General features: G+C 43.4%; 1 protein-coding gene and 1 pseudogene across 51 annotated transcripts in view; both read left to right on the forward strand.

Moving 5' to 3' along the window:
• Nucleotides 1-5,344, forward strand: part of SLMAP (sarcolemma associated protein) — a 173,705-nt gene extending 168,361 nt beyond the window's left edge. For 23 of the 51 annotated variants that reach the window (XM_005265456.5, XM_005265468.5, XM_005265462.5 and 20 more), the window contains one exon: nt 2,627-5,344. In XM_005265456.5, the coding sequence (XP_005265513.1) occupies nt 2,627-2,719 (93 nt within the window). In that variant the 3' untranslated portion in view covers nt 2,720-5,344. Of the gene's footprint in view, nt 1-1,175; nt 1,266-2,626 lie in introns of those variants that run through there. The other 28 variants (NR_165328.1, NM_001377540.1, NM_001377555.1 and 25 more) reach the window with 3 other exon arrangements.
• Nucleotides 17,107-17,845, forward strand: PPIAP16 (peptidylprolyl isomerase A pseudogene 16; annotated as a pseudogene).

Consider the following 26,888-nt stretch of genomic DNA (forward strand, 5'->3'; position numbering starts at 1 on the left):
CCTGTCTTTATATACCAAACCTTTATTACATGTGAAATCTCTTGCCTGATTTAGGAAGCACGCATTATCACAGGGCATTTATTTTGAAGCTTGAAAGCAGTATCATCTAATAAGCAAAAGAGCTTTGGTTGAAAAAAAAAATTTGTTAGAGGGATAAAATAACCATTGCTGAGGGAGTACATTGTCAAATAATGGATTTCAGGTATCGAGCAAAAATAGTGTACTGTCAAGCAGAGAGCATCAGCTGGTGGTGAAGTATTGTCAGTGTTTTTTGTTTTTTGTTTTTTGTTTTTTTTTTTTTTGGTGACAGGGTCTTGCTCTGTCACCCAGGCTGGAGTGCAGTGGCATGATCTCACCTCACTTCAGCCTTGACCTTCCCAGTTCAAGCAATGCTCCCACCTCAGCTTCCCAAGTAGCTGGAATTACAGATGTGTGCCACCATGCTCAACTAATTTTTGTATTTTTTGTAGGGACAGGGTTTTGCCATGTGGTCCAGGCTGGTCTCAAACTCCTGGCCTTAAGCAATCTGCCCACCTCAGCTTGCCAAAGTGCTGGGATTACAGTCATGAGCCACTGCATTCGGCCTGCTCTGTCTTCATGTGCTATATTTCATTAGAATGTTAGGTACACCCACATTGCCCATTGCCTTCAGCTGTTTCTTTCTCTTTTTTTTTTTTTTTCAACGGAGTCTCTCTCTGTCACCCAGCTTGGAGTGCAGTGGCACTCTCAGCTCACTGCAACCTCTGCCTCCTGGTTCAAGCAATTCTCCTGCCTTAACCTCCAGAGTAGCTGGGATTACAGGCATGCACCACCATGCCTGGCTAACTTTTGTATTTTTAGTAGAGACAGCATTTCACCATGTTGGCCAGGCTGGTCTCAAACTCCTGACCTCAGGTGATCCACCTGCCTCAGCCTCCCAAAGTGCTGGGATTACAGGCATTGAGCCTAACGGTTCCTAGCTATTCCTTTTAAACTGATAGTTTCCCAACTTGCATACCACAGTCTATCAGATTGTGTTAGATGTCTTTAAAATGTTTGAATCTGTGTAAAACCTGAGTGGTATACTTCTATTATTTCATTCTTTCTTCCTACCTCCCACCCTACTGGGGTCTGAATCCTCTTATCTGATTACTTTCATAGCATAAAATGATTTTAATATGCCTTCCCTTCTTTAGCCTTCCATATTACAACCCGTCCCAGCCGTATTCATCGGCCTATTCCTGGCTTTCCTGTTTTGGTGTTTCGGTCCATTGTGGTAGAGAAAGGTACAAGCACTATTGTTGAGTCCTTGTCTGTTTGTCCCCGTCACCTTTTTGTGCCATATTTGTAATATAGTGCATGGCAAGAACACACAGGTATTTTGTTACCTGAAGCAAACCCTTCATTTAGTATGCCGTGTATTTGTGTCATACCAATGAACTGAACAGTCAACTAATCCCATAACTTTTTGTCTTGTTTACTTTGTAGTAATGCTAACCATGAGTTAATTCCAACCTAACCAGTTGTTAATATGCTTCCATTAACTGAGTCTTTATCTCTAGCAAACTGGAGTGCACTATGAATTTCTGCAATATTAGTACCCTCTTTCCAATTATGTGTTTAATCAGATTTGAATGAGAAATGAAGAGTTTGCCTCCTTGAAGTTTTCAGCCAGCCTTCTTCCCCTTCCTCCTTATCCTCTTCCTTTTCATAGTGTAGATTTTCTTTGTTTCAACCCTTTGCCTGTTTATACTATGGCTATGAAGATGAAAAATAATGAGATTAACATAATGAACCATTGGCTCACAATCTCAACCCTATTGTGTACTTGCAAGGATATAAATGTATCCCATTTCTTTCTGAGCCCTGACCTGCAACATCAGAATATTTCTTTAAAAACCAGTTTTTCTCAATAACACTTCTGGAATACAAGTAAAAATAAAAGTGTCAACCAAAGCAAGTTGATCTTATAAAGCCCTCTAAAAGCTAGCAGGCAACAGCCCATCCATGCTTGTTTCTAACTGGCATGCATGTTAGTAGAGCATATGCGGTGATCATGTGGCTTTATTACACTGAACAGAGTCTATACCAGAATTATCAGACAGGCAGGATCCCTAATGTTACTTTTCCATCTTGAACCCTGTTTGATTTTGTCTTCTGTGGTTTCAAGTTGGACGACCAAAGCCTAGACCATTATCACCTTAGCCACTATCCCCTTGCATAAAATATCCCAACATGTGAGTCTGGTTCTTATCAAGAAATAAACATTTTAGGCAGAAACATACTACAGGTGTCTATATACATCAGTTATATTGGAATATATGGATACCAGAGTAAATAAAGCAGGCAGAGCCCACAAATTTTCTTAGAAGTCACTATTAGGTTTCAACTGTAACAAAGTTGAAAACTTCCCAGGACTTTCTTGGGACGTGTTAGACTTCCAAATTGGTGTTCCTGCTATTATGACTCTTCTTATACCTGCACTCCCTCACTTTTTTTTTTCTTTTCAAACTTTATATTTATGATGCAGAAATAAGATTTTTCCAATATTCTGTTAAGTATTCAGGACTCTCTGGAACCAAGGGGTTAATAGGTATGAAAAGAGAGGGGAGAATGTGATATTGACTCTTGGTTTCTTTCCACACAGAAACCCTGGCCCTGGATGCCCATGTTGGCTGCCCTGGTTGCAGTAACAGCCATCGTGCTGTACGTGCCAGGTCTGGCCAGAGCTTCTCCATGAGAGCGTTCCTTGAGTCCGTACACCGTCCTCCCTCTAGAAGCTGGCATCACACTCATGCTGGGGACAAACAGAACCATTTTCTTCCTCTTTACCTCTTAAAACAGCAGAAGTACAAGAATACAGCTGTAGGGTCATTGCTTTAAATTATATAAAATGTATCTGTCTATAAAGAAGATATAAAATTGTGACTTTATTCTACTGTAAGCAATAATTTGCTTGCAATTTTTCATGTAATTTTTAAATTAGTATGTTAAGATTCTGAATATTATGGTGGCCTAAAGTAGGCTTCTTGGTACACCAGATTATTTATAACATTAAATTTATGAGTATTTTACTCTGAATTCTGATCACCAGATAATTCATTTTTCTGATTTGATAACTACCCAAACCAAACAACCAATACATACATGGGAAGAGAGGCCCTGTGTGCTCAGTGCCTATCAGTTTGAAATATATACACATATATATATTTTTTACATATTTACGCCATTTTTACTTGTTATGAAACCACTGAGCTATTGGGAACAAGACTTAGAGACAACTATTTGCGTGGATTTTTTTTTTTTTAAGGAAAAATACGTTTGGAAAATAAACTGTTATGGTGATAATTTGGGGAATATGTGCACGCTTGTTCAGCCTTAATGTGACTTGAAGATGTGGAGGACATCAACTTTGAAAAACTTTCCATGAGAGTGTATTTTCTTGAGCAAACTGAAGTATTTCTGGGAGCAAAAACATAGTAATTACACAATTTCAGTGCAGTCAACCAAAATGTTGAGTCAATTGGAATGTAATTTATTAAACCATGTATTTAAAGAGATATTTTTCTTTAAAAGCCAAGTTACTTTCTCATATACAGCATTTTAGGAAGCATGATTTTTTTTTTCTATCATCTATTCCTCCAAGCATGTTTAATTGAAGAAAGTATTAATATCTCTTTAGATAAGCTTGTATTGACCTAATTTGGTTTATGATGTGTCAGAGCTAATTCATGTTCAGGGTGAGCGTTGTACCTACCAACAAATTTCCTGGTTGGGTATGCAAATGGTTATTTTCTTTTTATTGTTGTTAATTGGGACTTTCTGTTAATGAAAAGCACTATTCCCAAGATTAATAGTGTTCTATGCACAATGAAGCACCTAAAAACACTGCTTGATATTATAAATTTAAAACACAAGTGAAAGTTTAGCCATGGTTTTGTGCGGCATCATAGTTATGTCAATAAAGTTTATTTAGGTCATAGAATATCCTAAAGTATCACATAGTTAAATTTTTCAGTCAGTGAAGACCGGGAGGGAATGTCAGTGAATTGGCTTGAATGTTCTGTGGCAATCCACAGGTCTAGCCAAATATTGAAATAGGAGTTTAGGGTATAATTTGCCTTGTGATGTTTGGCAGTCACTGTTTATACTTTAAAGGTTATATTTTAAGCTATTTGAGATTGCTTTTGGGAAGATCACTAGATTTATGGAGGAATTAGTCACAAATGACTTGTAGAAAATACTGTCATATAGTTCATTTCATCATTTTCTGTTGCAGGAAGCCACTCCACCACAGAATGCTAATATGCCAGTGGTACCCAGTACCTCTTGTATATAGGTTATTGCAAATATTGTTCTGAAATGCTTAACTTCAGAATTACATTTTTTAAAGTAAATAATTGTTTTAAATCTATTTTGTAAAGATATAAAGTACAATAGAATTTCTGGAGTACAGATTAAACTATTTGCACTAACACACGTGACGTGCATGATTTAATAAAATAACTTTACTCTCCCTACGCATGTTTGAGTTGAATATCATTGAAGTTCTTAATGCTGACTCTACTATTGGGTTGTTAATAGTCTTCTCTTGACATGACTCTTTATGCAACATAACATACATTTGGTATTCTTCAGGGTTTAAAAGAAAACACTGAGCTGTTTCCTCCAAGTTTTATTAACCTTTTATTTAACTTACTGCTTTATTTTTTTCTCTTTTAATATGGTTATTGTTAAAATGAGAGTCACTTGCTAGACTGGTCTCTTTAAATGTAAGGTCTAGTATCAATATTTACTTCATTCAAGTGGAATAAATGGCTTTTTGTAGTTACTTCCAGTTTTCCTCAAGAATAGAAATAAGTCTGTTCATAAGCAATACCTTCAGTTTTGTTCAGTTCACTTCCACGTTAAATAAAGAATAGGATTATTCACTGGTAATAATAGAGTCATTAAGAAATATTAAGCATTGCAGCTAAAAATTGAACAACCCTGTAATGATACATTTAAGAATTATTCAAAGGTGCTACATGGCAGGGTTAGAGAATAAAAAGAACGTGGTGTTTGAAGCAAAACAGATCTGTATTGGCATCTTGGTTCTACCTTTTATCAGATGTTGTTGCCTTGTGCAAATCACATTTTCTCTGAGTCTCCATTTTCTCATTTATAACATGCGGAGAATAATACTTATATTTGTGGTAGTAGTGTGAACATTAAAAAGATAATGTATGTGAAGTACCATTCGAGTGGTGAATACGTTTTTATGAGAATGTCATACTGAAAAAATATTGCAAATATTAAAGTTTTAGGTAAGCCTAAACTTTAATCTACTTTAATTAAATGAATTGATTGACTCAACCATTCAGAATTTCTGTGTATGAGTGAGATATGTGTGTAACATTATGAATCCTGAGAAAGCATTATCACCTAGCTCTGTTTGTCGCCTTCATAGTTCACTCTTTTGGAAGTAATATGCTTGGTTTGGTGATGAACCAATTGCCCACAATGGTTTTGGAATTCCTGTTGTTATTGCCTTTAGAGCCACTTTGAGTCACATGTGAAAACCATTCACGTTGCCCTATAGTCAGAGGCTTTCAACCAAAACTAGTATTGCCTACTTGATCTCTCACTTTAATCACTACACTTGACCAAAATCTGGTGACTCTTGGCTGCTTCCAGTGACTATCTACTATCAAAAGGATGGGAATCTGCTACCAAAGAGAAAAAACTGCATGCAAATCAACTGAGTTAAAACTGCAGTCTTGGCTGGGTGCAATGGCTCACACCTGTAATCTCAGCACTTTGGGAGGCCGAGGCAGGTGGATCACCTGAGGTCAGGAGTTGGAGACCAGCCTGGCCAACATGGTGAGACCCTATCTCTACTAAAAATACAAAAATTAACCGGGCATGGTGGTGGGTGCCTGTAATACCAGCTACTCAGGAGGCTGAGGCAGGAGAATTGCTTGAACCTGGGAGGCGGAGGTTACAGTGAGCCGAGATCGCACCGCTGCACTCCATCCTGGGCGACAAGAGCGAAACTCCTTCTCGAAAAAAAAATGCAGCCTTGCTCCTGACTTAAAAATTACAGCCTTGCTCCAAAAAGTTCACTTCTGGATAATTATTTTGAGAACATAATTATGTGCATAAAAATTTACTAGGACATGTAGTGCAGCATTTTTATCATAGTGACATAAACAACCTAAGTGGGTCATTGGTTAAATAAATTAATATTACCACTCTATAGATTACTGTGGTTACAAAGTATGTAGAAAGATATTCATACTATATTAAGTAAAAGAAACAGGTTACCAGAGTAAAATAAACCTGGTTTTATAAAGGAAAATAAATGTAAACATACAAGATATGTTTGTAACAGGAGAACTTAGGAAGATTTATACCCAGACTGGTAGTAGTGGTTGTCTTTGTATGATTGTGGGTAAATTTAAATTCCCTTCCACCTTTATGATTTTCATTTTTTTTTTTTTTCTGAGACAGAGTCCCACACTGTTGAGTGCAGTGGCATGAATCTCGGCTCACTGCAACCTCTGCCTCCTGGGCTCAAACAATCGTCCTATCTCAGCCTCCCAAGTAGCTGGAACTATAGGCATGTGCCACCGCACCCAGCTAATTTTTGTATTTTTTTGTAGAGATGGAGTTTCCCTATATTGCCCAGGCTGGTCTCGAACCTTCTGGACTCAAGCTATTGTTCACCTCAGCCTCCCTTTTGTGATTTCTAATTTATTTTTAGTAATTAACAAATATGTATTGCTTGTATAAATTTTTTCAAGCTAAAATAAATTCCAAATTGGCTTTCATAGTTGAATGAGTAATTAACTTGTCAGAGTACCCACCCCCATCTTTAAAGGGGCTAATGTTCATTTGCACTGAGGAATTCTGGTGTGTTCACTCAACAGTCAGTCTTATAATGTTAAAAATGCTTTGTACATATATTCATAGAACTATAATGCTGGAGAAACCCTTAACAATCCTATCCCATCTTTTTGTTTATCCAGGAAAAATCCAGAAAATTTTTTACTTGGAATCGTAATAATAAAGTTGAGAACCAAGATGTTTCTTTTTTTTTTTTTTTTTTTTTTTCTGAGACGGAGTTCCTCTGTTGTTACCCAGGCTGGAGTGCAATGGCGCGATCTCGGCTCACCACAACCTCTGCCTCCCGGGTTCAAGCGATTCTTCTGCCTCAGCCTCCCAAGTAGCTGGGATTACAGGCATGTGCACCATGCTTGGCTAATTTTGTATTTTTATAGAGATGGGGTTCCATGTTGGTCAGGCTGGTCTTGAACTCCCGACCTCAGGTGACCCGCCTGCCTCAGCCTCCCAAAGTGCTGGGATTACAGGTGTGAGCTGCCACGCCTGGCCTGTTTCTTTTTCTGCTACTCCATGTTGTGTCTCCAGGTTTCAGTGGTTTCATATGCATTCATTTAGCAAATACTTATTGAGTGTCTGATGTTAGGCACCGTGCCAGATCCTGACAATACTCAGTCCCTATCTTCATAGAGCTTTTGGTATGGAGGTGAAATACAGGCAAGGAAGCTGGCAATTAAAATACAATGTAATAGAAGAAGACACTGGAGACTATGGAACCATAGAAGCATTGAGTGCATTTCCTCTCACCTTCAACCACTCAACCTTCCAAGCTGGGGATATCTGGCTACAGAGCCAAAGGTAAGTTTCCCTTCTAGATCGTCTAAGGAACAGGTCTGGTTTCTCTTGAAGCACATGTCATTGAAAACCATTAAGATCTGATCTTGATTTTCTTTAAAAAGGCATTATGACTGGGAAGCATTTTTAAGGCTTTGTGTGTACTCTCCTGGAGTTTTCCCCTGTTAAATGGTTTGAACTGTAACTTGCGAGTAATGGGTAACTAGTGAAGGTTTTTGGTTTTTTGTTTGTTTTTTTGAGACGGAGTCTCACTCTGTCTCCAGGCTGGAGTGCAGTGGCACCATCTTGGCTCACTGCACCCTCCGCCTCCCGGGTTCAAGGGATTCCCCTGCCTCAGCCTCCTGAGTAGCTTGGACTACAGGTGTGCACCACCACGACTGGCTAATTTTTTGTATTTTAGTAGAGACAGGTTTCACCATCTTGGCCAGGATGGTCTCCATCTCCTGACTTCGTGATCTGCCCGCCTCAGCCTTCCAAAGTGCTGGGATTACAGGTGTGAGTCACTGCGCCTGGCCTAAGGATTTTTTTTTTTTAAGCCAAGAAAAAGTGTTTTAGCCAGACAGGCTCTTTGAAAGGCGTCTCCTATTGATGAGCTGGGGCATGGATTGGATGGATCTAAATCCCTTGCACATGGAGGCAAGTGTCCACCATGTCTTATTGTTTGTGTTTATCGTGCTGTTCATTCAGTAGATTGAGCAGGACCTTTTTTTTTCCCTAAAGATTCAGCGCCTTTCAGCCCAAATCTTAAAATTATGTGATCTGTTACCCTGTCATGCAAGGACACTGAGATAAAACCTATAAAGCCTATGAAAAAGACGCCGGGTGTGGTGGCTCACACTTGTAATCCCAGCACTTTGGGAGGCTGAGGCGGGCAGATCACCTGAGGTCGGGAGTTCGAGACCAGCCTGACCAACATGGGGAAACCTTGTCTCTACTAAAAATACAAAATTAGCCGGGCATGGTGGCACATGCCTGTAATCCCAGCTACTCGGGAGGCTGAGGCAGGAGAATCGCTTGAACCCAGGAGGTGGAGTTTGCAGTGAGCCAAGATCACACCATTGCACTCCATCCTGGCAACAAGAGTGAAACTGTCTCAAAAGAAAGAGAGAAAGAGAAAGAGAGAGGGAGAGAGAAAGAAAAAGAAAAGAAAAGAAAGAGAAAGAAAGAAAAAGACATCATGAGCATTACGAATAAGAAAGGCAAAGGGACCAGGGGAGGGAGAAAGGAACAAGTAGAGAAACTGTTGCTGGTTGTGCTCCTTGTCATTTTCACCTTTTGAACTGGCCAGAGAATATCTGGGCAACCAGACTTCATTTAGCAGAGATTCAAACTTCTACTTTATGAAATTTCATCCTAGGATTTTTCTTTATCCTAAGTTCTGTGTGCTCATTTATCCCATCAGCATGAGCATCGTGCTCCACATAGAATTGGAAGCAGGTGTGCCTGCTTGGAATAGCATTCTTTTCACTCTTAAATGGCGGGATCCCTTCCTGCTAGACTGAGGATCCTTCCTCATGGCAGGTTCTACAAGCAAACAAGGGAGGAGCTGCAAAGGCACTAAAAATACCAACCATTTCAATTTTTTGAATCTCAGGCTTCTGCCATAAATTACTTCACTGTGTAATCTTTGCATAGTTATGTCATTTTGTTTTGGGTTGAAAACTTGCTCTGAGATAATTAGCCCATGCTTATTTAGCCTCCCCCATTACCCCTCCTCCTGCACTTCATAGCTAATCTTCAAAGAGTTAATGTGTTTTGAATATCTTAAACCAAATTTTTGTTTTATTTTTTATTTTTAGAGACTGGGTCTAGTTCTGTTGATCAGGCTGGTCCTGAACTCCTGGCCTCAAGCGATCCTCCTGCCTCCCCCTGCCAAAGTACTGAAATTTTAGGCATGAACCACCATGCAAGGCCTTATTTTCTTTAAATAGTGTTTATAGAGCTCATTACATTTACATTTTCTTCTACGAAGTAAATTTGGGATAGTTTTAAAGTTGAGCATTCTAATGTAGCACTTTATGTACCTAATCACATTTTTTAAAAAATCCATAAGAGTTTATTCAGTCATGCAACTTCGGCAAATAAAGTTCTATATTTTAAATACTTTTGCCAAAATTAGGTGGTAAATACATATGTGCTATGTGCACATATAGCCCTTTTTATCAATGAAGATGAGTAAGTACTGTGATATCACCTGGAATAAATAGAACCTTCTGCCTAAGTCATCTGTCTTTGAATACCTAAAATACATTTATTGGCCGGGCACAGCGGCTCATGCCTGTAATCCCAGCACTTCAGGAGGCCGAGGCAGGTGAATCACCTAAGGTCAGGAATTCGAGACCAGACTGGCCAACATGGCGAAACCTCATCTCTACTAAAAAAAAAAGAATAATAATAATACAAACAAATTAGCCAGACGTGGTGGCACATGGTGTAATTCCAGCTACTTGGGCGGCTGAGGCAGAAGAATCGCTTGAACCTGGGAGGCGGAGGTTGCAGTGAGAAAATAATAATAAAATACATTTATTTTTCTGGCCTCATGTTATAGCAAAGTCCTCAAAATCCCAGCAACTCTGGAGGCCGAAGCAGGAGGGTCGCTTTAGCCCAGGAGTTTGAGACCAGCCTGGGCAACATAGTGAGACCTCCATCTCTAAAAAAATTAAAAGTAAAGTAGCCAGGTGTAGTGGCACATGCCTGGAGTCTCAGCTCCTCAGAAGGTTAAGGCAGGAGGATCACTTGAGTTCCGGAGTTCAAGACTGCAGTGAGCTATGCTTGCACAGGGTCTCTAAAATAATAATGTTTTAAATTTTTAAAAAAGTTATCCATTGCTATGTAACAGATTACCTCCAAAACTTTGGCAGTTTAAAACAGCAAATAGGCTGGGGGTGGTGGCTCACGCCTGTAATCCTAGCACTTTGGGAGGCCAAGGTGGGCAGATCACCTGAGGTCAGGAGTTCAAGACCAGCCTGGTCAACATGGTGAAACCCCATCTAAAAATAGAAAAATTAGCTGGGTGTGGTGGTGGGTGCCTGTAATTCCAGCTACTTGGGAGGCTGAGGCAGGAGAATCGCTTGAACCCGGGAGGTGGAGGTTGCAGTGAGCTGAGATGGCGCCATTGCACTCCAGCCTGAGTGACAAGAGCGAGACTCCATCTAAAAATACATAAATAAATAAACATGCAAATATTTAGTATCTTACACAGTTTCTAAGGGTCAGGAATCTAGGAGCAGCTTAGCTGAGTGGTTCTAGGTCAAAGACTCTCCTGGAGTTGCTGTCAAGCTATTGACTAGGCCTGGAGGATTTTCTTTGCTCATTCAGATGCTATTAACCGGAATCTTCAGTTCCTCACCACGTGGGTCTCGCCATAAGGCTGCTCAGATAAAGCAGCTGGCTTCCCTCAGAGCAAGTGATTCAAGAGAAAGGCAGAGGGATGGAAGCCACCATATCTTTCATAACCTAATCTCTGAAGTGACATACCATCACTGTGCAAAATTCTGTTGGTCACACAAACTAACTCTGATACAGTGAGGAAGGTAATAACCAAGGGCATGGATACTAACAGGCAGCAGAAGAGAGCCAGGTTACAGACTGGTTCTTCAACTAATTTCCCATTAGGAAACTTTTGAATTGTTGATAAGCTTCTTTTAATGAAGTATATCAAAAGAGACAAACTAAATGACTTCTATAAATTACATCCTGGCTGGGCGCGGTGGCTCACCCCTGTAATCCCAACATTTTGGGAGGCTGAGGCGGGTGGATCACAAGGTCAGGAGATCGAGACCATCCTGGCTAACACGGTGAAACCCCGTCTCTACTAAAAATACAAAAAATTAGCCGGGCGCAGTGGCACGTGCCTGTAATCCTAGCTACTCAGGAGGCTGAGGCAGGAGAATCACTTGAACCCAGGAGGGAGAGGTTGCAGTGAGCCTAGATCGCGCCACTGCACTCCAGCCTGGGCAACAGAGTGAGACTCCGTCTCAAAAAACAAACAAACAAAAAAAAAGAATTACGTCCTTCCCCAATCTATTGATTCCCTAATATCAGTAAGTCATTGATACTGATTCTAAAGTTATAAGAAGTCCAAAACAAGAGAGCACTTAGGATTACTGTCATACTTACAATTTAAATTTAGAAATTGTTTTCAAAATTGATCAAAGTAGATAATTTTCTTAAAACTGTGTCTTCAACCACTATTTGAAAAGCTATAGGCCTCTAATCCCAGCTACTCAGGAGGCTGAGGCAGGAGAATCGCTTGAACCGGGGAGGCAGAGGTTTCAGTGAGCCAAGATCACACCATTGCACCCCAGCCTGGGTGACAGAGTGAAACTCTGTCTCAAAAAAAAAAAAAAAAGAAAAAAGAAAAGCTACAGGGACAGGGTGTTGTTTTTTTGTTTGTTTTGGTTTTTTTTTTTTTTTTTTTTTTGGTGGTCTTTGCTTTTTTGTTTTTGTTTTGTTTTATTTTGATTTTTGAGACTGGGTCTCACTCTGTCACCCAGGCTGGAATGCAGTGGTATAATCACGGCTCACTGCAGCCTTGACCTTCCAGGCTCAAGCAGTCCTCCCACCTCAGCCTCCCGAGTTGCTGGAACTACAGGCACGTGCCACCATGCCCAGCTAATTTTTGTATTTTTTGTAGAGATAGGGTCTCCCTATGTTGCTCAGGCTGGTCACAAACTCCTGGGTTCAAGCCATCCTTCTACGTCAGCCTTCCAAAGTGCTGGGATTACAGGCGTGAGCCACCGTTCCTGGCCGGACAGTTTTTACTGGGCACTAAGCTAGGTGCACCTCTCCTCATAGTTTACCCCTCCTTCCCTAGGCTATAATTGTTGGTTGCTTCTCTGTCTTCTCTATGAGATAGTAAGTTCCCAGAGTTCCCAGAGGGCAACTAAATACTGGGTCTTTACTCACTTTGGTATAACTGAAACCTAGTACAGTTCCTAGAACATCTATTTATTTATTTATTTATTTATTTATTTATTTATTTATGAATGAGACGGAGTCTCGCCCTTGTTGCCCAGGCTGGAGTGCAATGGTGGTGTCTTGGTTCACTGCAAGCTCTGCCTCCTGACTTCAAGCTGTTCTTGCACCTCAGCCTTCTGAGTAGCTGGGATTACAGGCATATGCCACCATGCCTGGCTAATTTTTTGTATTTTTAGTGGAGACGGGTTTCACCATGTTGGCCAGGCTGGTCTCGAACTCCTGACCTCAGGTGATCCACCCACCTCCGCCTCCCAAAGTACTGGGATTACAGGTGTGAGCCACCGTGCCTGGCCTAGTACATTTTAGATATTTAATAAATATTTGTTGCAGAAAGGGAGTAGAACCCTGGTCTGAAGGTGGACTTGAATCAATACTTTCTGGTTGCTAACAGTGGCCATTCATAGATAGTATGATGGTGTGCCCTCTGGTCTGGAATAAAATCACTTAGTGGCAGTAAACATTGTTACCACGAATGTAAATTTGACTGCGGCAAAGGACCTTATTTCTTACCAAATTTTAGAGTTTCTTAAAGCATACACTTAATGAGAAAAGCTGAACCTAGTTTTCACCAATTACTAGATAGAAAGACTGAATAAACATTTATTTATGCCTGCCTTGTTTCAGTAAAGCTTTAAGGTGGCCTTACACAGATATATAAAATATGGAATAGGCTGGGCACAGTGGCTCATGCTTGTAATCCCAGCACTCTGGGAGTCTGAGGCAGGAGGATAGCTGAATCCCTGAGTTCAAAACCAGCCTGGGCAACATAGCGAGAGCCCACCTCTACAGAAAATTTTAAAATTAGCCACGCGTGGTGGTGCACAACTGTGGTCCCAGCTACTCGGGAGACTGAGGTAAGGATCACTTGAGCTCAGGAGGTTGAGGCTGCATGAGCCAAGATCATGCCACTGCACTCCAGCCTGGGCAACATGAGGAGACCCTGTTAGATAAAATATAGAATATCATGGCTTAAATCGGGGGTTGGGGGGGAGAAAAGAAAGTAAAATAAGAGAATATAAAATTGAGCCAAATAAGTAAAATAAAATTGGGCCACGACTGAGGAGGAAAAATTACCCCATGCCACCTTGCACATACTGGGTCTAAGCTTTCTAATAATCAAAATCCTAGACAGTTACCAAAGTCATCGTCCATAAAATTAATAATAAATTATTGAAAAATATGAAGGCTAGGAATTTCTGTCAGGGCTATTTATTTGGAGATGGTCTCTGTCACCTAGGCTGGAGTGCAATGACAGGATCATAGCTCACTGCAGCCTCAAACTCCTAGGCTCAAGCAATCTTTGTCTCAGCCTCCTGAGAAGCTGAGACTGCAAATGTGTGCCACCATGCCCGGCTTATTTTTTTATTTTTTATTTTCTGTAGAGACTGGGTCTCCCTGTGTTGCCCAGGCTGGTCCCAAACTCCTGGATTCAAGCAATCCTCCTGCTTCAGTCTCCCAAATTGCTGGGATTTCAGGCCTGAGCCACCATGCCTGGCCAGGGTTCTTCTTTTTAAATGCATGCTGGCTCTACACAGTGTTGCTTTGAACTAAAACTGCTCTAAAATTCTCTCTAAAAAAAAAAAAAAAAAGCATGCTGTGTAAGCATGCTTAAAGCATGATATAGGGAGTCTTGAATATCTTCTTTTTTTCAAAAGTATCCTAAGTCGAGGCCAAGGTGGAAGGATCCCTTGAGGCCAGGAGTTCAAGACAAACCTAGGCAACATAGCAAGACCCTGTCTACAAAACTAAAAATTAAAAAATTATTCAAGTGTGGTGGTACACAACTCTAGTCCCAGCTACTCAGGAGGCTGAGATGAGGAGATCCCTTGAGCCCAGGATATCAAGACTGCAAGTGAGCTGTGATGGTGCCACTGAACTCCAGCCTGGGCAACAGAGCAAAACCCTATCTCTAAAAACAAAGAAAGAAAAACACCACAGATATCCCAAGTAGACGGAAAAAAATAACACCATTTGTCAAAGCTGGGAAGGGCAAATGGGAGTTTATTATATTATTTGTTATACTTTGGCATATGTTTGAAATTTCCTACAATAGTTTAAGTGTTTTTTAAAATGTACAGCAATCATCATACTTAATGGGATGACTTTGGTAGCATTTTTATTGAAGTCAAGGACTGGACATAGATACCCATTCTCATTCCAACTCCTCAGCATTGAACTAGCTAATGCTCACTCTGTCGCCCAGGCTGGAGTACAGTGGCATGATCACGGCTTACTGCAGCCTCGGCCTCCCAGGCTCAGGTGATTCTCCCACCTCAGCCTCTCAGATAGATGGGACTATAGGCACACGCCACCAGAACTGGCTTTTTTTTTTTTTTTTTTTTTTTTTTTTTTTTTTTTTTTATGTAGAGATGGAGTTTCGCCATGTTGCCCAGGCTGGTCTTGAACTCCTGGGCTCAAGTGATCCTCCTGCTTCTGCCTCCCAAAGTACTGGCATTACAAACATGAGCCACCGTGCCTGGCCCAAAACTTTTTAAGCTCCAACATGACATGCAAAGGAAATTTACACTCTCAAACTCCTGGGCTGAAGCAATCTTCCCGCCTTGGCCTCTTTAAGTGCTGGGATCACAGGCATGAGCTACCGCACCCAGCAGGAACTCCTAATCAAGCAAATTCTTTGTCATCAGCTAAGGAGCTCACTGAGTCAAACAAGTTGTTCTTGACCTCCTAGTCTTCTGGTACCCTGGGTCTGCTGCAGGCCTGTTTCTGGGCAGGCCTTCCCTGGAGCAGCATCAGACTCTTAATTTTGTGTGGAGTTACTGGGTAGGGCACTATTCCTATATAGAGCCGATGATCAGCAGTCCTCACCTAAGAAAAGCAGTCTTTTCTAGCCCTGTGTTCTGTGGCAGTGAAGCACACTAGGTGTTCCAGTCAGCACAAAGGGGTCAGCTGGAAAGCAGAGGGGGCCACCTGCTTCTTGGCTTCAGTTGATTGTATGCCATGCAAGTCTGTTGCCAACATCTTCTGAATTTTCAAGAGAAACTGGAAACCAGGCTGGGCACAGTGGCTCACGCCTGTAATTGCAGCACTTTGGGAGGCCAAGGTGGGTGGATCACCTGAGGTCAGGAGTTTGAGACCAGCCTGGCCAACATGGCGAAACCCCATCTCCATTAAAAATACAAACAAACAAAAAAAAATTAGCTGGGCATGGTGACGCGTGTCTGTGATCCCAGCTGCTCGGGAGGCCAAGGCAGGAGAATCACTTGAACCCAGAAGCCAGAGGTTACAGTGAGCCGAGATCACATCACTGCACTCCAGCCTGGGTGACAGAATGAGAGTCTGTCTCAAACAAACAAACAAACAAAAAAAAAAACCAGAAACTGGAAACTGGACTTTATGTTCACTTTCCAGATTAAAAAGGGGGAAGAAGGCCCTGTGTGAGGCAAGCAAAGCACACCTGCAGGCCCAGTTTGGTCAGTGGAGCTACCAACTGGCAACCTCTGGTCTAATTAAGCCTAGAATTCTAAAGCACTAGAGGTGCCTTATGCTGGGGTTGGACTTCACAGACCAATAAAATGTTCCAGAAATTTTGGAGCTAGACTCAGGGTTGCCAAACGTTTTATTTTACTGAATGTCTTAGTCCATTTTGTATTGCTTTAACAGAATACCTGGGACTGAGTAATTTATAAAGAGGTTTATTGCCAGATGCCGTGGCTCACGCCTGTAATCCCAGCACTTTGGGAGGCCAAGGCAGGTGGATCACGAGGTCAGGAGATCGAGACCATCCTGACTAACAGGGTGAAACCCGGTCTCTACTAAAAATACAAAAAAAAATTAGCCGGGTGTGGTGGCAGGCGTCTGTAGTCCCAGCTACTCGGGAGGCTGAGGCAGGAGAATGGCGTGAACCTGGGAGGCGGAGCTTGCAGAGAGCAGAGATCACACCACTGCACTCCAGCCTGGGCAACAGAGCTAGACTCCGTCTCAAAAAAAAAAAAAAAGAAAGAAAGAAAAGAGGTTTATTTAGCTCACAGTTCTGCAGGCTGGGAAGTCCAAGGAGCATGGCACCAGCATATTCTTGCTTCTGGTGAGGGCCACATGCTAGGTCACAACATGAAGGTCAAAGGGAAAGCAGACACCTGCAAAGAGAGGCAAAACCCAAGGCACGCCCTGGCTTCATAACAACCCACTCTCCCCAGAACTAATTGATTCCTGTGAGAACTAATCCAGTTTCCTCAGAGCAAGAACTCAATCACTATGGCAAGAAAGGCACCAAGCCATTCGTGAAGGATCCACCCCCGTGACCCAAGAACCTCCCACTAGGCTTCACCTCCCAACATTGTCACATTGGGGATCAGGTTTCACCATGACTTGGTGGGACAAACAAGCAGTATTCAAACCATATCACTAAGCTATAACAGTTTTTAATGTAAAAAACATACCAAACGCTACTATTAACTCACCATTTAATTAAAGAAAGGCCATTACAATACTTGAAAAATAGGATACACCAGGTTTGCAGATGCTGCTGCCACTGGGAGCCCCGTATTACCAGCCATGGTCAACCCCACCATGGTCTTCGATATTGCTGTCAACGACAAGCCCTTGGGCCGTATCTCCTTTGAGCTGTTTGCAGACAAGTTTCCAAAGACAACAGAGAACTTTCATGCTCTGAGCACTGGAGAGAAAAGATTTGGGTGTAAGGGTTCCTGCTTTCACAGAATTATTCCAGGGTTTGTATGTCAGGGTGGTGACTTCACATGCCACACTGGTGGCACATCCATCTACAGGGAGAAATTTGATTGCAAGAACTTCATCCTGAAGCATATAGGTCCTGGCATCCTGTCCATGGCAAATGCTGGACCCAACACAAGTGGTTCCCAGTTTTCATGTGCCCTGCCAAGACTGAGTGGTTGGATGGCAAGCATGTGGCCTTTGGCATGGTGAAGGCATGAATATTGTGGAGGCCATGGAGCGCTTTGGGTCCAGGAATGGCAAGACCAGCAAGAAGATCACCATTGCTAACTGTGGACAGCTCTACTAAGTTTGACTTGTGTTTTATCTTAACCACCAGACCATTTCTTCTGTAGCTCAGGGGAGCACCCCTCCACCCCATTTGCTCGCAGTATCCTAGAATCTTTGAGCTTTCACTGCAGTTCCCTTTGGGTTCCATGTTCTCCTTATTCCTTTCATGCCTAGCTGGATTGCAGAGTTAAGCTTATGATTATGAAATAAAAACTAACAGCAACAACAAAAAAGGATACACCTAATCCACAGTTTCTTATGAAACCCTGGAGGCCAGATGTATTTTGGAATTGCAATGTATTTACATTTTTGAAAGGTTAATATGGTGAATGTAACACTTCATAGTAAAATGCAAAATTTCCAGTGAACCATGTGAATATTCAACTAAGTGGAATAAGTAAAGGCTATAAATAACTATGTCAGTTCAGGTCAGAGTTTTCTGCAAAATGAGTTTTTATACCAAACCAAAAAAAAAAAAAAAAAAAAACTTGGTTTTCAGAGCCCTTTGCATATGGACTGTTATCAAGAAAGGAAAAGTCCTTTAAATGGACCAGCTTTAGGGCTATGGCCTTATTTTCCTCAGGTCACCCTAGTCCACTGGAGATTGCACTAATGGTTGGACATTTAGGAGCGTCTGATCTAAGCCAAAGCAAATCTTTATACAACTTCCCCAGTTTCATCTGACTCCCTCTTGAAACTGGTAGCAAGCCACCGCACATGGCAGCATTTCATAATGTTAAGTGTTCCTAAATCTGTTTTTTAGTGTTTCATAGCTGCATTGGTCCTAGTTCTAATTGCTGTGCTACCCAGAACTCAACTCCTGCTTTTATGAGACTCCTCTGGAATGTACCTCTCCAAGCTGGCATAAGGCCCAATGAGCTTGGCTCCCTTAGCTGTCCTTGTCGTGTGACAAGCTTGCCTTCCATGCCAAGTGCCTTCAGGGCTTTCCAGAATGGCTCCCATGTGGCCGGGCACAGTGGCTCACACCTGTAATCTTACACTTTGGGAGGCTGAGGCAGGAGGATGGCTTGAGCCCAGAAGTTCTAGATCAGCCTGGGCAACATAATGAGACCCTGTCTGTACAAAAAAATTTAAAATGAGCTGGGTGTGGTGGCACATGCCTGTAGTCCCAGCTACTTGGACGGCTGAGGCAGGAGAATCACTTGAGCCCGGGAGGTTGAGGCTGCAGTGAGCCATGGTCACACTACTGCACTCCAGCCTGGGCAACAGGAGACCCTGTCTCAAAAAAAAAGTTTGAACAACCAAGTTATATCGATGGTTTGCATTGACTCGGAATTAAATGACTTCTCCAGAAAGCAGCCTGAGAAACTGGAAGGGGATGAGACATTGGAGGCGGGCCTCGAAGGACTGGAAAGATTTGGGCTTATTGGGGATATAACAGAAAGGCATTGCAAGGGGAAGGTGGGAACATGTCAGGTGTGAATGAGTGGTTTCATGCTGGCTGGAGCTAGGCCTGGTGGAAGAGCAGCATTTGGAAAGCACATCAGGAAGAGGACATTTCAGGCAAAAGAAATGGTTGAGGCAAGAGGGAGCTCGCTGTGTGTGTGCCTGCATTGTACAAAAACTGCCCCCAGTGCAGGGGAGGATTCACACTTTTGGTTGTGATGAGCCAGCTGGCTGGCTTAAGCAGAAAGAGAACTTATCATGAGGCTACAGTGCAGGGTATTGCTGTATCTGCCTCTCTGTCTTCATCCCAGTCTACATCAGAAATTCCTCTCCCTGCTCTCAGCCCCTGGAGGATTTCTTCTGTGACCCTTCTCTTACCCTGAGCATTTTCTACCCCATTTGGGGCATTTTCTACCCCAAATGACCCAGTTGCCTGGTGTCATTTCTCTCTCCTATTAAACTATAAACCCCTAACAGCAGGGCTGTGCCTTACTTGCCTGTGCCACCTTCCAGCCCCCCACTGCTCTGGAAAGTGTGGCCTGCAGGCTTTCAGATTTTCTCCATGTTGACCCTGCCTTGGCCTTCCCATGGGGAGGTACTCAAGTTTCCTTTTCTGTGTTATCTCCTACAGTCCCTTGCAAAGATTCAGATCTCTGGCTCCAGGCATTTATTGCATTTTTCTGATCAAAGCTCTCTTCCGAGCAGGATATTTTCCATACCGGAAGCTTAAGAGAGTCCACAGTGAACCATGGGAAGAATGGGGTGATCGTAATTTTCTCAAGTTCTTGCATTGATTTAACACAAGAAAAGGACTTGGATCCTTTGCTCAGCGTCTCCTCTGAGCACTTTAGTTAATTCGGCATACATATACTTTTTTTTTTTTTTGAAACTTTTTTTTTTGGAAACTTTTTACTTTGATATGATTTTAAATTTGCAGAAGAGTTGCAAGAATAGCACAAGGAACTCACATTTGCCCTTCACCCAGATTTTCCAGTTTACACCTCGCCTCATTTGCTTTCTCTCTGTGTGTGTATACACACACACACACACACACACACACAGGTGCGTATTTTTTTTCTGAACTGTTTGAGAATGTCATTCATTTTGTTCCTTTGCCCCTACACACTTTAGTGTGTATTTCCGTGAAAGAAGGATATTCTCTTTACTTTGTACCAGGAGTGCTGGTTTCTTGCCCTAATATAGTGTTTACTGGCAACTGGAGGGTTGGGGGGACAAGGATCTTATGGATCTGAAGGAATTAGTCAAGAAGTTGTCACAGCATCTCTTTCCTCCTAACTAGATCCTGCAGGGACAGAAACCCACTCTGAGAAGTATGAGGCTGGGTCATCTAAGATAAGTCTGCCTGTTCTTTCTGGATGAAAATGTGATTGTTGTCACAGGTCCAAAGCCAAACACATTTTGGGAAAGGTGGCATCAATTAACCCAGCCAGCCTCAGACCTTGAGACATTTTTACGGTCTGTGCAACACAAGAATCGAGAAGGAAAAGACGTCGTACCACTGCACTTGCAGAGAAGCTTTGTTTTCCATCTCAGCCCTTGCTGCCTGTGCTAACAGTCGCAATCCTAACATCCTACCTGGACATCATCTTCCTGCCATCATCATCTGAGCCTGGGGTCCCCCCAACCTTCCTGCTCTTAACCAAGTTCCGAGAGATTCTGGGATTCAGGGGCTCCCAAAACAGCTGTGAGCAACCTTCCTCAATTGAGTCCCCACTCTTTTGGTTATGCCTAGTGGATAGATGGACAAGTGGAACAACTTTTTTTTCCTAATATAAAATTAATACATGCTTCTTGGGGAAAAAACATAAGTATAGAAAAATATGAAGAAGGGATACAGATCACCTGTAAACTTACTATAGTTCTGGTATCCACCCTTTCAGATTCCATCAGGAATGAACATTGTGTGATGGCTAAGAGCCCATACTCGGGTCATCAGGACTAGACACAGTTCTGGCTGTGCCATTACTAACTGAAGTAAGATAACTAACTCCTTTGAGATCCAGTTTCCTCTTCAATAAAACAAGATAAGGCTGGGCACAGTGGCTCACACCTGTAATCCCAGCACTCTGGGAGGCCGAGGCAGGCGGATCACTTGGGGTCAGGAGTTTGAGACCAGCCTGGCCAACATGGTGAAATTCTATCTCTACCAAAAAATACAAAAATTTGCCAGGCAGCTGAGTGCGGTGGCTCACGCCTGTAATCCCAGCACTTTGGGAGGCTAAGGTAGGTGGATCACCTGAAGTCAGGAGTTCAAGACCAGCCTGGCCAACATGGTGAAATCTCGTCTTTACTAAAAATACAAAAATTAGCCGGACATGGTGCATGCCTATAATCCCAGCTACTCGAGAGGCTGAGGCAGGAGAATCACTTGAACCCAGGAGGCGGAGCTTGCAGTGTATCGAGATCGCGCCACTGCACTCCAGCCTGGGTGACAGAGCAAGACTCTGGCTCAAAAAAATTTAAAAAGTAAAAAGAAAAAAAAAGCCAGGCGTGGTGGCAGGCACCTGTCATCCCAGCTACTCAGAAGGCTGAGGCAGGAGAATCGCTTGAACCCAGGAAGCAGAGGTTACAGTGAGCCAAGATTGCACCACTCCACTCCAGCCTAGGCAACAGAGTGAGACTCTGTGTTAAAAAATAAAAAATAGGCTGAGTGTGGTGGCTCATGCCTGTAATCCCAGGACTTTGGGAGGCCGAGGCGGGCGTATCATGAAGTCAGGAGATCGAGACCATCCTGGCTAACATGGTGAAACCCCATCTCTACTAAAAATGCAAAAATTAGCCAGGCGTGGTGGTGGGTGCCTATATTCCCAGCCACCCTGGAGGCTGAGGCAGGAGAATCACTTGAACCCAGGAGGCAGAGGTTGCAGTGATCCGAGATTGCGCCATTGCACTCCAGCCTGGGCAACAGAGTAAGACTCCCTCTAAAATAAATAAATAAATAAATAAATAAATATGAGATAATAATAGTACCTGGGCTGGGTGCGTTGGCTCATGCCTGTAATATCAGCACTTTGGCAGGCTGAGGTGGGTGGATCACGAGGTCAAGAGTTCAAGACCAGGCTGACCAACATGGTGAAACGCCGTCTCTAATAAAAATACAAAAATTAGCCGGGCGTGGTGGCAGGAGCCTGTAATCCAGCTACTCAGGAGGCTGAGACAGGAAAATCGCTTGAACCCGGGAGGTGGAGGTTGCAGTGAGCTGAGATTATGCCATCGCACTCCAACCTAAGCAACAGAGCGAGACTCCATCTAAAAATAATAATAATAATAGTACCTGCTTAAATAAGCTAATGCATGTAAAGGGTTTAGTCAATGCTTACATGAAGCAATCTCAAACAAATATTAGTTCTAGGTGATGAAAAAGGACTCCCGCCATACCACTGTATAGCAGCCTGCTGTTTTCTCTCAACAGTAATTGATTCATTCAATAATATTTTTTGAGCACCCGTTGCATGCCAAACATAGTGCTAAGTCCTAACACTTAAACAAACAAAATCCTTGCCCTTATGGAACTTACATTTCTAGTGGAGAAAGAGACAGATAACATGCTTGTATATGTTATAAAATATGTCACAGGGCCGGGCACAGTGGCTCACACGTGTAATCCCAGCACTTTGGAAGGCCGAGGTGGGTGGATCACTTGAGGTCAAGAGTTCAAGACCAGCCTGGACAACATGGCAAAACCCCATCTCTGCTAAAAATACAAAAATTAGCCAGGCGTGGTGCATGCCTGTAGTCCCAGCTACTCGGGAGGCTGAGTCAGGAAAATCACTTGAACCTGGGAGGCAGAGGTTGCAGTGAGCCAAGACTGCACCACAGTACTCCAGCCTGGGTGACAGAGCAAGACTCCATCTCAAAATAAATTAATTAATTAAATATGTCATAGGTTAATAAGTGCTCTGGTGGGGGGAGATTCAGCATGTGTGGTGGATAGGGACCACCATCAGCGGGTTGCTATTTTATATAAAGTAGTCAAAGAAGACCTCTTTGAAAAGATGGCGTTTGAGAAGTCTGAAGGAAATGAGGGAACTATAAAATAAATATCTGGGGGAAGAACATATCTGGCAGTGGGAACAGCATGTGCAAGGGCCCCGAGACCACAGCGTGCTTGGCATATTTGAGGATGGTCAAGGAGGCCCTTGTGGCCAGCAAAGAGAGGAAGAAAGAGAACCGGAGGAGCAGAGGTCAGGGAGGTAGTGGGGACCCAATTGTGTAGGACCTTGTAGGTCATTCTGAGGATTGTAGCTATTCCTCTGAGTGAGATGGGGACCTAGGGGAGGGATGGAGGAGAGGAATGATACAATTTGACCCTCATTCGATCTCAGTACTTGTATATTGTGGTTAAAGTGGAAAGCCGCACAGTTCCTTGGACTCTATTAACCAGCATTCCCCAGCCCTGTGGGCCCCTCCCACCAGGAGTCCACAGCCTGCCTGACACGATGCAGCAACTCCCCGTAACCCCTTGCTGCCCACCACCATACCGTTTTTCTAGGTGGGAATGACATCCAGGCATACCCAGATGCTTCCAGGCTAGACCGTATTGTGCCCAGCCTTACTGTTCGCATCTCACTGGCCATGACGGCTAATAGCCACCATCGATTAAGGCCTTGTCATAAGCCAGGCCCCTCACCCCCAGAGCTCCTTTAATCCTCACAGCCACCCTGCTAGGCAGCCACTGTCATTCTCCCTTTTGCAGCTGCTACAACGATTGATTAACTTGTGCAAGGTCCTGAAGCTGGCAGGCAGGGAGGCCAGGACTTCTACCCATCCGTCAGACTCCTAAGGATGGGGACAGTGATGAACAAAGCACAGCATCCACAGTGCCTGGCACACCACAGTCACCCAGACAGCCAGATAGAAGGCTGCATGAATCGGCGCTCTTCATCCCTCCCTAAGCTCTCCCTCTGTTGAGAAAATGTCTGAGAAAGCATTCCGCACACTATAAAGCATTACACAAATATGAGCATGGCTGTGAAGATGATTAGGAGTCCGAAACCTCAGGTTCGGGTTGGGCTCCTGATTTTTCTGATGGCCACCTCCTCCTAGTCATTGGCACGTTAACCTCAAACACCTGAGCGCCACCAAACCTCAGCATATCCCTAGCTTCTCCTTTGCTTTGCCTGAAACAAAGCAAGTCTTTTATAAGCAAGGGAGAGGGCCTGTGGTGGCCTTGCTTTTGCGAACGTGCTTTCACCTCCTTCCAGTTCATTGCTTTCATACAAAATTCCAGACGCACAGCGCAGGCAGACAGAAGCCTCATTCATAGCCAGAGGTCCCTCAGGCTGGGGTTTCCACGCCTCCTTCCCCTTCCCCCTCATCTCAGTCTCCTGCTGAAGTTGCGATCCACATGAAGCCACAGAGGTAGACTCAGGGCAAAGAAGAGTTTTTAATGTTGCTGATGGGGGTGAGGAGAGGGTGGCCCTCGGAAGGCCACCACATGGCATGGTGGAAAGAGCCCTGGATTTGCTTGACAATAGACTACTGCATTCCAGATTGGTTCCACCGATTGGTAGTCAAATGAACTTGGACAAGTCATTGACCCTGTCTTCTTGGAAAGACGTGGATCTCAGAATCCTTCACAACGCTTTGCTCCTGATAGCTAGTACCTGTTCAGCAGAGTCGGCACAAGCTCACACAGCCCTTGACCTCCTGTGGGCCAAGTGAACGCCTTCTTCCTGGTTTGGTTAAGTTGGCATAGAGCTGAGCATGGTGCTGCTGGTGGTTCTACTAAATTGTATGATGGTTTAAAAAAAAAAAAAAAAAACTGTCCTTGAGGCTGGGTGTGGTAGCTTACGCCTGTAATCCCAGCACTTTGTGAGGCCAAGGTGGGAGGCCAGGAGTTGGAGACCAGCCTGGGCAAGATAGTGAAACCTCTACAAAAAATAAAAAACTTAGCCAGGCATGGTGGTGCACGCCTATAGTCCCAGCTTCTCTGGAGGCTGAGAGGCAAGAGGATCACTTAAGCCCGGGAATCTCAGGCTGCAGTGAGCAGTGATCGAACCACTGCACCCCAGCCTGGGTGACAGAGTGAGCCCATCTCAAAAACAAGAAACAAAACCAGTTCTTGAGCAAGACATACCTTTCTAATTTCCCAGTACTTTCCAGCTTTCCAAACCCTTCAGGCCCCACACCACCCTGATTTTTGTCACCTGCAAATAATAAAACTACAAACTGCACTGCACGTACACTTTTGTAAAGGCTTGAATCATTGACTTCCTCAGCCCCACACCTTCTGGTCAGCACAGGGCACTGCACTGCCACTCCAGACAGGCCTGGGCAGTGAGGAAAGGTGCCAGCCACGTGGGCTGGGGGTGGGGAAAGTGACTAATCATGAAATCCTAATTTATAATGTGTTGCTATCCTTAGTTGAGCATTAATTTGGCTCTCAGAAATAGGAGAAGGTGTGGGTGACTGGTCTGAGGAGAGTTTCTGGGCAATTAGAACAAAAACAGAAGCATGCTCTTGCACACAAAGTGGACTTTCTCTAGGGTGGTGGTATTCTCTGGAGAGCTGAACTCAGGGAGTCTTTATTATGTATACTTCTGTGTGTCTAAACTTTATACGGTGCTGGGTGCCGTGGCTCACGCCTGTAATCCCCACTTTGGGAGGCTGAGGCAGGAGGATCAGTTGAGCTCAGGAGTTTAAGATCTGCCTGGACAACACAGGCCTCGTCTCTACAAAAAAAAAATTTTTTTTAATTAACTGGGCATGGTGATGTGCACCTGTGGCCCCAGCTACTCAGGAGGCTGAGGCGAGAGGATTGCTTGAGCTGGGGAAGTTGAGATTTCAGTGACCTGTGATCAGGCCACTACACTCCAGCCTGGGCAACAGAGGGAGACCTTGTCTCAAAAATAAAATAATAATAATAATTAGAAAAACTTTACACAATGAACATATATCCCTTTTAGACCACATTTCCTGAGTCTAAGATGCCATTGATTGAAAGACAATTATTTTCTGTACTCCCCTGAAAGCAAACTGCTACAATGTGTCATCTATTAGACACATCTGCATTTTTGAGATGTTGAAATGTGAAAAAAATGTGCGTCTTCGAATTGACAGAATGAAGTAACTTTTTAAATTAAAAGATATTTTCAGCTGAGCATAGTGGCTCACGCCTGTAATCCCAGCACTTTGGGAGGCTGAGGCGGGTGGATCACCTGAGGTCAGGAATTCGAGACCAGCCTGGCCAACATGGTGAAACTTCGTCTCTACTAAAAATACAAAAATTAGCTGGTTGTGGTGGTGGGCACCTGTAATCCCAGCTACTCAGGAGGCTGAGGCAGGAGAATCGCTTGAACCTGGAGGTGGAGATTGTATTGTGGTGAACAGAGTGAGACAGAGGAAAAAAAAAAAAGATATTTTCCACTTTTGGAAAAAAATTATTTAAATTGCTTTTGCATTCCACTCTCCTGCTCAGAATGATTTCCTCAAAAAAGCCAAGGGAGTCACATTTGAAGATGAGGAAATTTTTTTTTAATGTTTATGTGCCAGTTTCTTGCTAGACCCTGTGCTTTCTCATCCCTGACCCCATGGAGGCCTCATGAGAATGATAAGCCCAAATAAAATTACCACTTATGGAAAAGGAGTAATTTTGCAAGGAAGGAAACTGAAGGTCAGATTGGTGTTCCTGATCATGCAGTTCAGTAAGTGAAGGAGAGGAGGTTCAAACTCAGCTGCTGAGCCCCCGCTCCCCTCTTCTCACCACATGCCTCAGTTCTAAAGCTGTCCTGAGAAAGGAGCCAGGTTGGAACCTAAGCCTCCTCCCAGAAGCCTGGGGAATCAAAGGGCAAAAGGGCTGAGGCCCGGGCTCTGAGGCCCACCCTGCGAATCCCGCTCTGTCT

Source organism: Homo sapiens, chromosome 3 (genome assembly GCF_000001405.40).
Source record: "Homo sapiens chromosome 3, GRCh38.p14 Primary Assembly".
In the NCBI taxonomy this organism is placed as follows: domain Eukaryota; kingdom Metazoa; phylum Chordata; class Mammalia; order Primates; family Hominidae; genus Homo; species Homo sapiens.